This window comes from Homo sapiens, chromosome 14, assembly GCF_000001405.40.
Source record: "Homo sapiens chromosome 14, GRCh38.p14 Primary Assembly".
In the NCBI taxonomy this organism is placed as follows: Eukaryota; Metazoa; Chordata; class Mammalia; order Primates; family Hominidae; genus Homo; species Homo sapiens.
In genome coordinates this window covers 65430451-65448813 of record NC_000014.9, presented here as the reverse complement: position 1 = coordinate 65448813, position 18363 = coordinate 65430451, and the positions used below count along the sequence as shown (strand labels likewise).

The following is an 18363-nucleotide window of genomic DNA, read 5'->3' as shown; positions in this document are numbered from 1 at the left end:
AGTTAGTCTGAATTAAGAAGGCAAAATACCAAAATTCCTGTTACAATACCATCACTCTTTCTAAATTCCCATGGGACACAGCTTGAATTTCTAAATCCTTTTCAACTTCCTATACATTGTAACTGTTTATTTTTCCCACCCCATCCCCAAAAGATTGGGCACACCATGAGAACAGAGCCTGTGGTTATTCACCTTTATATCCCTTAGTGATTTCTAGCACACTACCTTAACACATATTATATTTAATAGTTTCTACTCACCAATATCCCTTCTACTTATCTCACAAGGATACTGCAAGGATCAAACAGTACAATATTTATGAGTACTGTGCTTAAAATATTGTGCAGATATCAGATGTATTTTATTTTATTATTGTCTATGATTATTCTAAATCTTAGCTGGAAAGTAGCAATATGCTATAGGGAATGAGAACAGAACAAACGATCCTCCTGATAAGCATGAGTTTGATGGTGGCTCCATTGCCTCCTTTATTCCGCCCCCCCATTCTATAGGTTCTAGACCCACTTACTCATGACCAAAGCTTTCATCACCCCCTGCCTGCATCATCCCAGCACTCTTCACCATACCACAAACATCATCTGGCGTTTTTATGGTTTCTAGTACCAGCTCCACTTCCAGCTCCCAATCTATAGTTCATAACCATTGGATATTTTGGCTACTATCTCTAAGCTATCTCTTACTAGGTAAGATAAAGAGATAGAATCAACAGGTCAGGGGTCTTATGACCTAACACTATCCCTGTGATACTGAATAAATCATGTCTGTTTCTGTGCCTTTATAAAAATACCAATATAAATATGTCACACTGCCTTAGTTGCACTAATTTAGGTAGGATATGAGGAGCCCAGGAGCTGGTTATCGTGCCTTTCAAGAAACACATTCTGGCATTGAGAAACTAATCCCGAAACAGAAACGAAGAGGTTTAGTACTAGTCCCAGCTCTAAACAGAAATTTACTATGTGATCTCAGAAATAACATATCATTATCCCTAGATGTCTAGATATTCTCCTATAATGAAGGAACTGGAATAAATTTTAAAGGTCTCCTCCAGATCTAAAATTCTGAGATGAAAAGCCTATACTGCCATCTTCCAGGGGCCATTAGAATTTTTCAGCTTGTATTTCAATTGAACTTACCACTTGCTACTAAACACGCCAAAAACATTCTAGTAATTCAACCAGACAAGATACCATTTGAAAAAAATGTATGTATTTGAAAAAATGGTATCTTGTCTGGTTGAAGAAAAAAAATTTTCAGAAGAAAAAATTGTTTTAATCTTTTAATTTAATCTTTTGTCAAAACATTCCTTTCCAATCCAAAAAGTCCTTTTCCTTCATTATTATAAAATAAAGGTATTTTCCTATAACTCTTCAACATAAAATGTACAATGATTACACTGCGCCTTGATTTACTGGAAACTAAAAAATGCAGCTTATATTCACCAAGTTTAGTAACAAACTCAAACAAAATTTACTTTCTTTTGGGTTTTTTTTTTTTTTTTGAGAGAGTCTCATTCACTGTCACCTAGGCTGTAGTGCAGTGTGGGACATCCAGCTCACTACAGCCTCTGCCTCCCAGGAGCAAGCGACTTCTGCCTCAGCCTCCTAAGCAGCTAGGATTACAGGCATGCACCACCATGCCCTGCTAATTTTTTGTATTTTTAGTAGAGACCAGATTTCACCACCCAGAAGGGAAAAACATGAAAATAAAGAAAGGTTACAACATTTATAGGATAGCATAGAGAAAATTTTCAGATTATAAGAGCTGAAGAGAGAGAAGAGACAGACAAAGGGGCAGAATGTTTATTTAAAGAAACAATAGCAGAGTCGGGTGTGGTGGTACGTGCCTGTAGTCCCAGTTACTCAGGAAGCTGAGGCTGGAGGATTGCTTGAGCACAGGAGTTCAAGTCCAGCTTGGGCAACATAGCAAAACTCTGCCTGAAAAGTAAGGAAAGGAAAGGGAAACAGAGAAAGAACCTATCTTTACAAAAAAAAAAAGAGAGAGAGGGTGAGGGGCAGGCTCCCACTGGTCAAAGATGTAACAACAATTTGAGCTTCATTAAGCATATTAATTGCAATGAATGAAAATCTAAACATGTTAAAAAAAAAAAAAAAGCCCTAAAACATCTTCACAGGTTTAGATGTAACAATTTCAGTATCTTGAAAACTGGTAAATAAAAATAAAGAATCAAGTATTTATCCTGGCTTTCCTTGTGAATTATACTATTTAATAACCAAACAGTGATGAAGAAAATATTCTATGGAAGTATGCTAAGTAATAAATTAAAAAGAAATAATTTAGAATATCACTATCACTATTTTGCAACCTCCAATGAATTAATCCATCTAAGTAGTGAGTATCAATGGCTGCTAACGTCACAAAGAGAGTCATCCAAACAGCCAAGTGCCTTCTGATGACACACTTCCTATTGCCTTGCCAAAGGGATCACACCTAATTAGGATCAAGCCTCTGAATCCAGCTGAAAATCTACAGGGCATACAGAGAACAGAGGAAAGTGTTAAACTGCACTATTAGTATGCAATCAGCAGAATGCAAACTGTGGGAAACTCTACAAGGCAAACAGCCCAGGGTTCAATAGCTAACTTGTAAGAAAAAGAGACAGATGAGATGGGGGATCTGTAGATTAAAAGGCTTAAAAGACGTATCAAATTCAAAATATACATATATACGTAGTATTACAGTGTCTAAGGATATAGTATCACTTGGGTTATAAAACCAATGAACAGCATTATTTCAATAAATGATAGTTGTTACCTATTTTAAAATGTGAAGCTGTACTAGGTGACCATCCCAATTCTTTGCACATGATTATAGTGCTAATTATTTTAATATGAAAGGTTTTCTAGCTGGGCACAGTCGCTCACACCTGTAATCCCAACACTTTGGGAGGCCAAGGCAGGGGGATCACCTGAGCCTAGGAGTTCAAACCAGCCTGGGCAACATAGTGAGACTCTGTTTCTACTTTTTAAAAAATAAAAAATAAAGGTTTTCTGTGCATCAGTCACTTTTCATACAAATCCTTGAGACGTAAAAAAAATCTAATAGAGAAAACATTAGACAGTATTTATACAAGTTTATTTGACCAGTAGTTAGACCAAATGCCTTATAAAGTAGACACATGTTCAGTTTCTTTGTATGTCTTCCATTTTATTTCTTAAGTTAGCATACAGTAAAACAGACTTTTGGGAGGAAGTAGGAGTATACAGTTCTATGAATTTCAACACATGTATATCCATACTCAGGATACAGAACAGTTCTATCACCCCAAAAACTCCCTCATGCTGTCTCTCCATAGTCACACACCCTCCCCCACCATAACCCCTGGTCCATTTTGTGCTGCCATAACAGAATACCTGAGAGAGGGTAATTTATAAACAACAGAAATTTGTTTCTCACAGCTCTGGAGGCTGGTAAGTCCAAGATCAAGGCGCCAGCATCTGGTGAGGATCTTTCTGGCTGTAAACACTCATGGTGAAAGGTGGAGGACAAAATGAGACAAATGTTACATCCTCACATGGCAGAAAAGCAGAAGAGAGCAAGCCCTTTTTATCCTTTTATTTATTTATGAGACAGAGTTTCGCTCTGTCTCCCAGGCTGTAGTGCAGTGGCGTGATCTCGGCTCACTGCATCCTCTGCCTCGCAGGTTTAGGCAATTCTCTGCCTCAGCCTCCCGAGTAGCTGGGATTACAAGCGCTCACCACCACGCCCATCTAATTTTTTTTGTATTTTTAGTACAGACAGGGTTTCACCATCTTGGCCTGGTTGATCTTGAACTCCTGACCTCATGATCCACCCGCCTCGGCCTCTCAAAGTGCTGGGATTACAGGCGTGAGCCACCATGCCCGGCCGCAAGCCCTTTTTATAACAACATTAATCCATTTGTGAGGGCTCCCCCATATGAACCAATACATACACCTTCCATTGGGCCCCCCTCCCAACACTGTTGCATTGGTGATTAAGTTTCAACATGAATTTTCAGAGGGGACAAAAACATTCAAACCATAGCACTGGATAACCAGTACACATTCTCTACCACTACAGTTTTATTTTTTTGAAAATATCATGTAAATGGAATCAGGAGACTAGCTTTTTTAAAAAAGTATAATGTCTTCGAGATTCCTCCAAATTGCTACAACACACGTATCAACAGTTCATTCCTTTTTATAATTGGTACATCATCCATTGTATGATGTACCATAGTTTGTCCATTCACACATTAATATTTGTCTATATGTACATTACCATTTGGGTTGTTTCCAGTTTTGGGCAATTATGAACAGAGCATTACTGGTTTTTGCAGGAACATGTTTCATTTCCTTGGGTAAATACTTAGAAGTGGGACTGCCAGCTCATATGGTAACTTTATAAGAAACCACCAAATTGTTCTCTGAAGTAGCTGTATACTTTTTTGTATTTCCATCTGCAGGGCAGGAGAGTTCTAGTTGCTCTGTATCTCTGTCAGCTTGCTATTGTCTAGGTTTGTTGGTTTGTTTTTGTTTTGCTTTTCTAATAGGTAAGTAATGGTATCTCGTGATTTCTACTTGCATTTCCTACTGGATAAATAGGTTTATGTACTCAGTTTTTTAAAAGAAATATTACATTTAACTCTACTTGTCAAAGAACTATGTTTACTATTTAGCACCCACTCTGTTAATGAAATGCTTTTATAAACTAAACTAAGCTTGATGTCTTTTCAGAACCATGTGCAACATTAAGAGTTTCAAAGTGGCCTCTCAAGCAATAAGAGAAAGTTTATGCAAATATTTTCAATTTGTTTTACTAAATTAAAATTTTTTATAAACTTTTAGTAAAAACTTATTGAAAACATTAAAAAGCTTGTCAAGTTACTTCTCATCTTTCCAAAAGCCATTTCTACAAAATAACATAAATGTAACATTGTCACTTAGCACTTCTTTAAAGCTTATTTTGTATTAACTCTGCTAAACCCTAAGCATACCAATATTAAGTCAAATGACTCTGAACTCAAGGAGTTTATATTACTCATGATTTTTGAAAATCAACTACTTTTTGGGGTGTCTTTTTTTTTTTTTTTATTAGAGGTCCTGCTCTGTTGCCTAGGCTGGAGAGCAGTGGCACAATCATGACTCACTGCAGCCTCAACCTCCTGGGCTCAAGCAGTCTTCTTGCTTTAGTTTCCCAAGTAGCTGGGACCACAAGCGCACACCACCACACCCAGCTAATTTTTAAATTTTCTGTAGAGATGGGATCTTGCTATGTTGCCCAGGCTGGTCTCAAACTCCTGGCCTCAAGTAATCCTCCTGCCTCAGCCTCCCAAAGTGCGGGATCATAGGTGTGAGCCACTGCACCCAGCCTTGATTTTCAAAACTCTTTTTTTTTTTTTGAGATGGAGTCTCGCTCTGTTGCCCAGGCTGGAGTGCAGTGGCGCAGTCTCGGCTCACTGCAAGCTCCACCTCCAGGGTTCACAACATTCTCCTGCCTCAGCCTCCCAAGTAGCTGGGACCACAGGTGAGCACCACCATGCCCGGCTAATTTTTTGTATTTTTAGTAGAGACAGGGTTTCACCGCGTTAGCCAGGATGGTCTTGATCTCCTAACCTCGTGATCCACCCATCTCAGCCTCCCAAAGTGCTGGGATTACAGGCGTGAGCCACCACACCCACCCCAAAACTCTTCATTTTTTAGAACAGTTTCAGGTTTGCAGAAACATTCTGAAGATAATACAGTAAGTTTCCATATACTACTCCTCTATCCGGTTTTCCCTATTATTAACATCTTATATTAGTATGGTACATTTTCTATACTTAATGAATATTGATATATTAACTAAAGCCCATAGTTTTAAGTTCCTCCTGTCTGTGACAGTTTTATAGATTTCCCTGTTTCTGATGACCACTTTTATGGTGCATGAGTAAGGTTTCCTTGTAGGATGCCCCTCTATACTGTATTCTTAATTTTTTTTTTTTTTTTAATGAGATGGGGTCTCACTCTGTCACCCAGGCCCAACTTGGCTCACTGCAAACTCTGCCTCCTGGGCTCAAGCAATCCTCTCATCTCAGCGTCCCAAGTAGCTGGGATCACAGGCAAGTACCACCATGCCCAGCTAATTTTTTGTATTTTTGGTAAAGACAGAATTTCACCATGCTGCCCAGGCTGGTCTTAAACTCCTAAGCTCAAGTAATCCACCTGCCTCGGCCTCCCCAAGTGTTGGGATTACAGGTGCGAGCCACCACAGCGGGCCTATACTGTATGTATGTATGTATGTATGTATGTATTTATGATGGTCAGTACCTCAAATGTTTGTGCCCTCAAATGTCCACCCTTGGCCAGGCGTGGTGGCTCACTCCTGTAATCCCAGCACTTTGGGAGGCTGAAGCAGGCGGATCATGAGGTCAGGAGATTGAGACCATCCTGGCCGACATGTCTCTACTAAAAATACAAAATACAAAAATTGGCTGGGTGTGGTGGCACATGCTTGTAATCCCAGCTACTCAGGAGGCTGAGGCAGGAGAATCACTTGAACCCGGAAGGTGGAGACTGCAGTGAGCCGAGATCGCGCCACTGCACTCCAGCCTGGCAACAGAGCAAGACTCAGCCTCAAAAAAAAAAAAAAAGTCCACCCTTAGCTGTTTCTGTTTTGCTCTGGATTCATGCTTCTCAATCTGGATGCATCTAAGAATTATCTAGGGAGCCCTCTGAAAACCCAGATTAAATCTGGGAGCCCTTTGAAAACCCAGATAAAATCCCATTAAATCTGAGTAAACATAGGTGGGAACTGAACAATGAGAACAACTGGACCCAGGGTGGGGAACATCACACACCGGGGCCTGTCGTGGGGTTGTGGGAGGAGGAGGGATAGCATTAGGAGATATACCTAATGTAAATGACAAGTTAATGAGTGTAGCACACCAACATGGCACATGTATACATATGTAACAAACCTGCGCGTTGTGCACATGTACCCTAGAACTTAAAGTATAATTAAAAAAAAAAAATCTGAGTAAATACAAACTGATTTTTTTTTTTTTTTTTTTTTTTTTTTGAGATGGAATCTCACTCTGTCACCAGGCTGGAGTACAGTGGCACGATCTCAGCTTACTGCAACCTCTGCCTCCCGGATTCAGGCAATTCTTATGCTTCAGCCTCCCAAGTAGCTGGGATTACAGGCATGTGCCACCACACCCGGCTAATTTTTTTTTTTGTGTGTGTGTTTTTAGTAGAGATGGGGTTTCACCATGGTGGCCAGGCTGGTCTTGAACTCCCAACCTCAGGTGATTAACCTGCCTTGGCCTCCCAAAGTGCTGGGATTAAAGGTGTAAACTACCATGCCCAGACCTGTACTCATTTTTAAACATAAAATAATTTACCTACTAAACAAATCTCACTGTGAACGAAAGCTTGGTTCAAATTTTTTAATAATTATCAACATATATGTATACTTTTCTAAAATTTGTGAAAACAGAAAATGGTCACTATTCTAAGGTTCAATACTATGAATTACAATTAAACTGACATCTGTATTTCAACAACCCTAATCTCTTCTAACTCCACAAACATCCTCTACAGTAGGTCTCCATATATCAAGTAGGGAAAGAAATTCTGAAAGTTACAAAGAAAATTAAAAGTTACCTGCCCCTCTTTAAAAACATATGTATCTTTCCACTTACCCTTCCTAGTTATCTAAATAAGAAATTAACTACTAAAAAAAATCTGTGTAAAATATACTTCAATATAACCAGCTTATATTCATTCTTTTTTTTCCTCTTTTAAGTGGCAGACATAGTTTTGAGTATAAAATGTAGCTCTAGTTTTGCTAGCTTGAATCTAAATTCTAATTCCACAGTTATAAATTGTTGCAGAGGTAAGGAAGTTTCTACTCAGCCTCATTTAGGTGAAGGGTACTTCTCATTTACAATAATTGAGATAATTGGACTATGCTTTAGCTTTTCCCTAATTCTTGGTGTGTTTTATTGCCTGTATTGGTTCTTCATGGACCCAAATAAAATTCTCACTAATACTTGTGACTTACCAATTATACCAACTATAGATGTCTCAAATTTAAGAGTTTAAAAAAAAAGACCTTAGGTGGCCAAAGAAGTCATTTTCCCACAAGAGGAACTCCAGATGGATACAATGTTTAAACTTCATTTTAATTGGCAAATAGAAGTTACACATATGTATTGTGTACAACTGGATGTTTTCATATATGTGTACGCTGTGGAATGATTAAATCAAGCTAATTAACATACCTATTATCTCATATATCCAAGCTTTTTTTGTTTTAATAGTAAGGACACTTAAAATCTACTCTCTAGCTGGGCATGGTGGCATATGTCTGTAATCCCAGCTACTAAGTAGGCTGAGGCAGGAAGATTGCTTGTGCCCAGGAATTCTAGATAAGCCTGGGCAACACAGTGAGATCCCATTTCAATTTAAAAAAAAAAAAAACTACTTTCTAAGCAATTTTCAAGTATACAACACTTTATTATTAACTACAGTCAACCATGCTGTACACTGGATCTCCAGAATTTATTCCTCTAAATACCTGAAACTTTGTACACTTTAACCACATCTCCCCATTTCTCCCCAGCTGACAGCTCCTGGTAATCACCATTATATTCTCTGCTTCTATGAGTCTAACTTTGTTAGATTCTACATATAAGTGAGACCACGCAGTATTTGTCTTTCTGTGTCTGGCTTATTTCACTTAGCATAATGTCCTCCAAGTTCTTCCATGTTCTTATAAATATCAAGACTTCCTTCTCCTGAAAAGCTGAACAGTATTCCACTGTGTGTGTGTACATATATATATATATATATATATATATATATATATATACACACACACACACACATTTTCTTTATCCATTCATGTGTTGATGAACACTTAGGTTGATTCTATATCTTAGCTATGGCAAATAATGCTTTAACAAACATAAGAGATAAGATAATTTTCTATTTGTAAAGAGATCCACGAGCAGAACTAGAGTGCTCAGCACTTACGTGATGGTTTCTCAACACTAGGAGGCTTTTGTGCATATTTTATTGTTGCTATTGGTGTTTAAGGGAGCATTTATTTTCCTTTAAAAGTACTCCACATCCATAGAGAAAAAACTTGTAGTTTCTTTTCCTCTCCATGAAATGCTTTATTAAATGAGTAATTTGTTTGAATAACTGAGACAGTATGAATTATGTACCAGCTAGGAACCCCCTTCAAAGTAAGAAAGGAAATAGTTTCTATCACCCTTTAAAATTTTTTAAATATATTTATTTACATTTAGGAGTATGGCTTTAAAGAAACTTCTGTCCTTCACATGACCCTCCAGTTCAAGTGCCCAACAGAGTCTGACTTGAAATTATCAAGTTACTAAACAAAATATTCTAATTAGCCTATATGAGGTACATGTCCATTCTCTGAGGAAGACTGACTTGTTTCCCTCCATCTCTACTTCTGTTCTGAGTATTATTACTATGATCCTCCTAAACCAGTTTGTCCACATCCTTATAGCCTCAAAAGTAGAGAGGATCTCCTTTCTGCTAGATGCAGTTCTAAAAACCCAGGACAGAGCTGGTATTTTTGCTTACATATCCATCCTTGAACCAATAACTGTGACAGTAACAAGCTTCCATTTGGATCATGTTACTAGGGTAGGGATAGGATGAGTTTTCCAAAAGAGGCAAGTAAAAAGGGGTCTGTTAGTGATCTAGACATATTCTCTAGAGGAACTGCTGGCAGCCAATTAGCCAAACCAATCTGTATCAACTAAAATTGGAGGGCAGGGGAGACTTAATGGACACATCGTTCTTTAGAAATTATATTTTTCATTAGGAAATAAAATATGTGTAACTGTGCTTACACATTCCTTCATATTCCTGTTAAAGTTTCTTTTTAAAAAATTAAAATTTCAGGTGCTACATAACTAGCAATGCATAGCAGCTTCTAACTGCAACACTGTGCCTGTGAACAATCATTATAGAAAATGTGGAGAGCAAGAGAATTCAGGGACTTAGCAGTGGAGAGATGAAACAGCACCAAGAGTTCAACCACAGAACAGGAAGCAGAAGGGAAGATGCCTTAGATGGAGGTGTGAAGGATCGTGGGTTCAGCAATGCATAATAAGAAAATCCAAAATAACTATGGCATAAACAAAACAGAAGTTTATTTCTCTCTCACATAAAATAATCTGATAATACTCCAGAGCTGCTCTACCATGACATAAATATACAGGGTCTTTCCAGCTCTCCATTCTACCATCCTTACAAGTATAGCCCCTATCCTCATGATCTAAGTTGGCAGCTGGAAAAAATGATAAAGAATGGTAAAGCTCTTCCTTTAAATAGACTTCTGGGAAATACCAAATACTTCTACTGACATCTAACTGACCAGAATTTAGTCACAAGGTAGTAACTTGCTACAAGAGAACTTCAGAAATTTGTTCTTTCAGCAAGTGGCAATTGGGCCCTCTATCTAGGTTTCATTAACTTGAGAGAAGCAGAGAATGAATATGTGAGGGGAAAAAAAAAACTGCCTAATTTCTGTTGTAACAGGTCAAAGACAAGAAAGGCAGATGAAGGTAACATGTGAATGTAAACTTTCCTTCTCTAATCTCAAGCTACAAAATGGCTAGACTGAAATATTCTTGATATATTCTTACTTGAGAGAGGAAATGGACAAACAACTTTTGATTTTACTTTAGACAACTTCTTATCCCCTCTCTCCATATTATTATAAAAGCCCATATGAGAAGTAAAAGTGTGAGCCAAAATAGTTTGGGTCAAAGTTTTAAAACCTCTTTACTATACAGAGGTATGAAACCAACATGTCCAACAAACAGAAAACACCAAAGCAGAAATAATTTAAAATCAAAGAAAAAAAATCACTATCACTATAAAGACTCTTCTACAGTTAAGACTTCTACATTACTTCCTAGATCCAGAAACTCAGGCTAAACTCCTCTTCTTTACTCCCTACTCCATTGCTTGCTAAACCTCTCTCCTTGCATCCATAAAGCACATCTAATCTCCTTGGTTCTCCTTCCTTGCTGTTTTAAGGATTTTATTGTAATCACTATGGGTAATAACAAAAAAACATTAAGAAATTATGAAGTTTTTAAAACCTTATAAAATACTCTGGGACCTCAAATATTCTCATTTTACTGGGAAGAACTAATGATGTCAAGTAATATGAATTCATGTACTCTAGTCCCAAAACAGTAAATTGCATTTCTACGACCCTAAACATTAGGTGACGTATTTCAAAGTCTTTCTTTAACACAAGCATGACATGGAGATGGCAGTGGTGGTGTTAGTGGTGATAAGACCAAATTAAGACCTTTGGAGGTCCCAAGTACAGAAAATATAATAGTATAGCCCTCTATTCTCTCCCTATTAAATACAAAATAAAAACAATACTAAACAGCTAACATTTAATCCAATAAATTCTTATTTCTTTCCTAATTCTACTTCAGTATTTTTTTAAATGTTAGGTAGTAAATGCTTTCAATTGTTTTTCAAATTCTTTTCTTTCTGCTTTGCTGATACCCTAAGCTTTTGTTTGATAAAAAGCTGTGGCTAATCAGTACTAAGTGCTAATAAACAGAAGTAAAAGCAGTTGCAACTTGAAGAGGTCTGCTCTACATCAGATATTTTACATGCATTATTTATAATTCTTGTCACATCTATAAAAAGGAGAGATTATCAATCCTGTTTTGCTGATAAAGAATGAACTCAAAGAAGCTAGACAAGATGCCCAAGGTCACTCATGCAGTAAATGGCAGAGTTGAGTACCTGAAATAGGCCTTTATGTCTCCCAGGTCTGATCCATTAGACATACTGCCTGTAGGGCATTTCTTCAGAACTAGCTCCTGGACAAAAATTTCATTTCAGAGAAACATTGAAAAATGCTTTTTAAATGCATCATTTGGTAGTACTCAAATTTTCCATGGAACCTAATCACTGATAATCCTAGATAATAACTGTAAATATATAGCCCAGACTGCTACACTGCACAACTCCAGTAGGAAAAAAGAAAAAAAAATTTTATGTGAATGATGTCCCCTGGAATTGTGTGATACAGTTGAGTGTGCAACCCCAATGCTTGTCAAAGACCTTGTCAGGGCCATTTACTATTCTATTTTGGAAAAAAACTTTTTTTTTTTTTTTTTTGAGAGGGAGTCTCGCTCTGTCGCCCAGGCTGGAGTGCAGTGGCACGATCTTGGCTCACTGCCAGCTCCACCTCCCAGGTTCACACCATTCTCCTGCCTCAGCCTCCCCAGTAGCTGGACTACAGGCGCCCACCACCACACCTGGCTAATTTTTTGTATTTTTAGTAGAGACAGGGTTTCACCATGTTAGCCAGGATGGTCTCGATCTCCTGACCTCGTGATCTGCCTGCCTCAGCCTCCCAAAGTGCTGGGATTACACGTGTGAGCCACTGTGCCTGGCCACTATCATTGTTTTTTAAAGCCAATAAGCATTCTCGGAATGTTAAAGAAAAGTTTTTGTTGTTGTTGTTTTGAGACAGGGTCTTGCTATGTTGCCCAGGGTGATCTCAAACTTCTGGGCTCAAGCGATTCTCCTGCCTCAGCCTCCTGAGTAGCTGGGATTACACACTTGTGCCATCAGGACCAGCTCAAGAAAGATATTTTACAGCCTGGGCAACACAGTGAGACCTTGTCTCTACAAAAAAATTAAAAACTAGCCAGACATGGTGGCACACACCTGTGGTCCCAGCTTCTCGGGAGACTGAGGTAGAAGAACTGCTTGAGTTCAGAGTCGTCTGAGGCTACAGTGAGTGATGATCACACCACTGCACTCCAGTCTGGGTAACACGGCAAGACTCTGTCTTTTAAAGAAAAAAAAAAAAAAAAAAGGGAAGATATCTTAAAGCACACGAAAATAAAAATACACCAAAAGTCAATTGTAAGAAAATGCAAACTAAAACCACATGATATACAACTATACACCTATTATAAGAGCTAAAATTAAAAAAAAAAAAAAGAAAGAAAAAGGAACAGATACTACCAAGTGCTAGTAAGGATGTAGAGCAACTGGAACTCTCAAACATCGTTGGTGGAAATGCAAAATGGTACAACCACTTTGGAAAACAATTTGGCAGTTTCATACAAAATTACACATATGCTTACCATATCATCCAGCAATCTGCTCCTAGGTATTTACCCAAGTGAAATGAAAACTTATGATCACACACAAAGCTATACATGAATGTCTATAGCAGTTTTATTCATAATTGCCAAAAACCAGCAATAAGCTAAACGTCTTTCAACAGACAAATGGATAAACTAACCATGGTACATTCATACCACAGATTACTACTCAGCAATGTAAAGGAACGAACTATTGATACACGCAACATAAATGAATCTCAATGAATTTTCTAAGTAAAAGAGGCTGATCCAAAAGTCTATATAACTACAATGTCACTTACAGTTGGCCCTCCATATCCACTAGTTCCATATCTGAGAATTCAACCAATATGGATAGAAAATATTATAGTAAAAAAAATACAACAAAAATAATACATATAAACAACATAACAACGATGTATATAGTATTTACATTGTATATTATATTTAGCGATGACTGGAGTACCAGGAGGATGTGTGTGTATATGTAAACACTAGGTCATTTTACATAAGGGACCTGAGCATCTGTGAATTTTAGTATCTGAAGGGGTTTTGGAACTAATTTCCCTCAGATAAGGAGTGACAACTGTGTATGACATTCGGAAAAGTAAAATGGTAGCCATAGAGAATAGATCAGTGTTTTCCAGGGCGATGAACTTAGGGGGAGAGGTTAACTACAAATGGGCAGCAGGAGTTCTGTGTCTTGATTATGAGGGTAGATACATATTATATGCATTTGCCAAAATCCATAGAACTGTGTATCGCAGTGTGGATTTTAATGTATTAATGCATAATTTAAAAATGAAAAAAGTTGTATAAAAAATAAAGGAAATATGCCAAATTGGGATAAAAGAAAAAAAAGGTGGGGGGGCTTTTCACTACCAGATCTACAAATGGTTATCCTCTGGAGATAATACAGCTGCCTCCACTGAGCTGTAAAGATAAAATGTAAAACGCTTAACACAGGCTTACCACACAGTAAATTCTTAGTTTTGAATTCTTAAATTCTAGTTCCCTTCCCTTTCCCTGCTTCTCTCTCCTATGTAAGTATTTCTCTTTCACTGTGTCTACTATTGCCTTTTCTTTCTTCTGCCTCTGAAATGGCTTTACATTGTTTTTGCTACTTCAAATTCCTTTTCCCTATTTCTCTGGTTAACAACATCTATCCTCTGGGGAACTGACACTACCCCCGATTTGTGTGGTTCTGATGTTAATGTCAACGACAATTCCCCACAGTGATTAGCCCAGAGATAAGCCTGTCAGAGGCCATCCTAGGGAACTAAGTTCTCAGCTGTCTGAGGCCATGCATCCTTGCCATGAAAGAAGCTTTCTAACATAAGCAGAAAATGAGGCCAACAGGAGAAAAAATAAAATGAAGCTAGAATACTCTGAAGACAGCATCTAAGTTCCTGGATCTGGTTGTTCCTGGACTTCTCCATCTCTATTCTTCCTATTTACATAGCCAATAAATCACCTTTCTGTATAAGGCATTTTAGAATTGTTGTTTTTAATGCTTCCCATTTTAAAATCACAAAATATTTGGCTTCTCTAAGGAAACAAAAATAGTAAATTCTCTCTTTACTTGCTGTGGCCTTCAGTTATTTTCAGTATTAGTGGCTACTAATATCAAGATATTACCCAACCCCACTGTAGGGCAATCACACACATTTGAAAGAGGTAGAAATAGCTGAGCCTGGTGGCACACATTTTTAGCCCTAGCTACTGAGGAGGCTGAAGCAGGAGGACGGCTTGAGGCCAGGAGTTTCAGGTTGCAGTGCTCTATGATCACATCTGTGAATAGCCACTGTGTTCCAACCTGGGCAACACAGCGAGAGAGAGAGAGAGAGAGAGAGAGAGAGAGAAGAGACAGAAGAGAGGTAGAAATAAAAGATAAAGCCACATATAACAACAGTAGACTGAGAACAGCTGCCTAGTGAAGATTTACATTACAAATAGTGAAAAACCTTCAAGACAGCTTTTAATGCAAATTATATCAGGTTTTAAATCTTCAGTGCAGGCAGTACTCACTTTTCATTACCTTACATTTTACCACTCTACTCACTTAAAGCTAGGTAATAAAGATATATGTTACTTTGTGTCATTCTGCCATTGCATGCTCTTTCACAAATTTTAATCAATATCTGAAGAAAGGCAATAGCATATGCAAATACGAAAAGCACACAACTGCAGTAAGGATTAAAGAAGAAGTCTCACAAGTTGACAACAAACACATAGCACACTCCTAATAAGCCTTTCTTCAGTTTGTCTTCCTGGAATGCCCCTACTTGTTTTTGATGCTAAGCTAATCATCACTATGTACCATATCCTACTAGAACTTCCTCTGCCACCTCACCCTTCATCATAGCAATTACTGAATTATAATTATATATTTATATGTTAGTGGTAATGAGAACCTAAACTGTTATCAAAAAAAAATGAAACAGAAAAAAGCAGATGAATGAGATAAACACTGTAGTGATAGAATTCGCAGTTTTGTTACAGGATCCCAACACTTACCCAAAGGTAGCCGTTGGGTCAGGGTTTCTGCACTATAGTCTCTTCTGTGGTTGCCAGAAATAGGTTACAGGACAGAGAAACATGTTACAGGAAAGGGGTCCTAATCCAGATCCCAAGAGAGGGTTTTTGGATTTCACACAAGAAAGAATTCAGGGCGAGTCCACAGTGCAAAGTGAAAGCAAGTTTATTAAAGTAAAGGCATAAAAGAATGGCTACTCCATGGGCAGAGCAGTCTCGGGGGCTGTTGGTTGCCTATTTTTATGGCTATTTCTTGATGATACGGTAAATAAGGGGTGGATTATTTATGTCTCCCATTTTTAGACCATACAGGGTAACTTCCTGACATTGCCATGGCATTTGTAAGCTGTCATAGAGCGGTGCTAATGGAAGTGTAGTAGTGAGGATGACCAGAGGTCACTCTCATTGCCATTTTGGTTTTGGTGGGTTTTGGCTGGCTCCTTAACTGCAACCTGTTTTATTAGCAAGGTCTTTATGACCTGTATTTTGTGCCGACCTCCTATCTCATCCTGTGACTTAGAATGTCTTAACTGTCTGGGAATGCAGCCCAGTAGGTTTTAGCCTCATTTTACCCAACTCCTGTTTAAGATGCAATTGCTCTGGTTCACAGGCCTCTGATAGTTTGACAAGCGAATGAATCTGACGGGGAATACAAAGATGATTCACAATTCAAGTTTGGATAATGGGAAGGAAAAGCCAATAATTTAAAAAAAAAAAAAAGGAAAGTAGAAAAAATACATTTTAAAAGAAAAGAAAATTCAAATTTGAGTGGGTTAAGCATGACAGCATGACAATTAGATGACAATCTCCAGCTGGAAACTGACGTTCAGGAACTTACAGTATAGGGGTCACCTGGAAGAGATTCTCACTAAAGCCAAAAGAATAGGTAACATTTCAAGAAAAAGAATCTAGAGAATGAAAAACATGTAAGGCAAATACTTGAGAAACAAGTTGACTTTGTAAATGAGCCAAGAGGACAGCAAAGTTATAAGGAGAAGGGAGGAGGAAAAGTGGTTCACAGTGTTAAATCTGAAGCAACAAGACTGAAGAATCCCCATTTGGCAATTCAGAAGGTCACTGGTAACAACAGAAAGAACAGTTTTAGTAAAAAATAAGGTAACCAAATTGAAACAACAGACATAAATTGTTTTTTTTCCTTTGGCCTGTTGCACAGTATTTAAAAATAATAATAATAAGGAAAGGTTTTTGTTTAAGCCATTAAATTGTTGCTAGGGAAGATTAAAATAAAAATGATAAAAGAGTTAATTAATGATCCTATACATTCTAACAGTAGAAGGGATAAAAGAGGTAGCCATGAAAACCTAAAGGGCATATTGCATATCCCTGACACCAAATGGGAGACAGAACTTACACAATTTAGAGAGAGAGAAAAGCAAAGCTGAAGAAGCTTCTGTTGGATAGTCTTGATCTTACATTAAAAAAAAAAAAAAAGTGAACCTACAAAGTCTAAGAGCAGTACACTGGAATCAGGCCCTAGGAAGAAGTAGAGTGGTGGCTCACGCCTGTAATCCCAACACTTTAAGAGGCTGAGGCAGGCAAATCACTTGAGGCCAGGTGTTCAAGACCAGCCCAGGCAATGTGGCAAAACCCAGCCTCTACAAAAAAAATACCAAAAAAAAGCCGGGTATGGTGACGCATGCCTGTAGTCCCAGCTACTCCAGAGGCTAAGGCAGGAGGATCACCTGAGCCCAGGAGGTTGAGGCTGCAGTGAGCTGGGATTGCGCCACTCCCCTTAGTCTGGGCAACAGAGCATGACCCTGTCTCATTTGAGAGAAAAAAAAAAAAAAAAAAAAGGCCGGCGCAGTGGCTCACACCTGTAATCCCACACTTTGGGAGGCCGAGGAGGGTGGATCACCTGAGGTTGGGAGTTTGAGACCAGCCTGACCAACATGGAGAAACCTTGTCTCTACTTTAAAAAAAAAAAAAAAAATTAGCCGGGTATAGTGGCGCATGCCTGTAATCCCAGCTACTCCGGAGGCTGAGGCAGGAGAATCATTTGAACCCGGGAGCAGGAGGTTGCAGTGAGCCGAGATCGCGCCACTGCACTCCAGCCTGGGCAGCAAGAGTGAAACTCTGTCTCAAAAAAAAAAAAAAAAAAAAAATTAGTAGAAAAGGTCTGAAATAGCCCCTATAGGAAGTGGAAAAGAATTGCCAATCAATGCAACCAAGTATTTTAGAGCACATTTTCTCATTAATTGCTCATCTCATTTTTTACTTAACTTGTAGGATACAAATTCTTCAGTCTATTTGATCTGATATCCCTTTTTTAAAGAGAGCTTTCTATATCCCATCTAATGATGTTCTGTACGTCTACTTTTCCATTGTAAATTACCCCATCTATTCTTTGCTATGTTACAAAACTTTTAATTATTCTTCCTGCTTTAATGTGGTTCTAGTCTTGCTCTCATGCTCTGTACAAATATCAAAGTAGTATTTGATTACACAAGAAATCCTTAATGTCTATTTTCTTAAAGACAAGTATTCAAGAGAACTATATAAAGAAAAGGAATTCTAAACCTAGAAATGGCTATATCTTCTGACGGCTGCTCATTTACTATTATGACTAAAAATAAAAATTCCCCAGGAAAATATGAACGATGATCTTTAATATTTTGAAGCTTCAGAACAGAAAAAGTGTCTCT

The 18363-nt window shown here is 38.1% G+C and overlaps 1 protein-coding gene across 12 annotated transcripts in view; it reads right to left on the bottom strand.

Moving 5' to 3' along the window:
• Positions 1–18363, bottom strand: part of FUT8 (fucosyltransferase 8) — a 387280-nt gene that overhangs the window by 295308 nt on the left and 73609 nt on the right. The window contains exon 1 of one of the 12 annotated variants that reach the window (XM_047431178.1): positions 15683–17492. The exons of the other annotated variants lie outside the window; for them this stretch is intronic. The gene's annotated coding sequence lies outside the window, so the exon portion shown is untranslated. Of the gene's footprint in view, positions 1–15682; positions 17493–18363 lie in introns of those variants that run through there. 12 annotated transcript variants of the gene reach the window in all.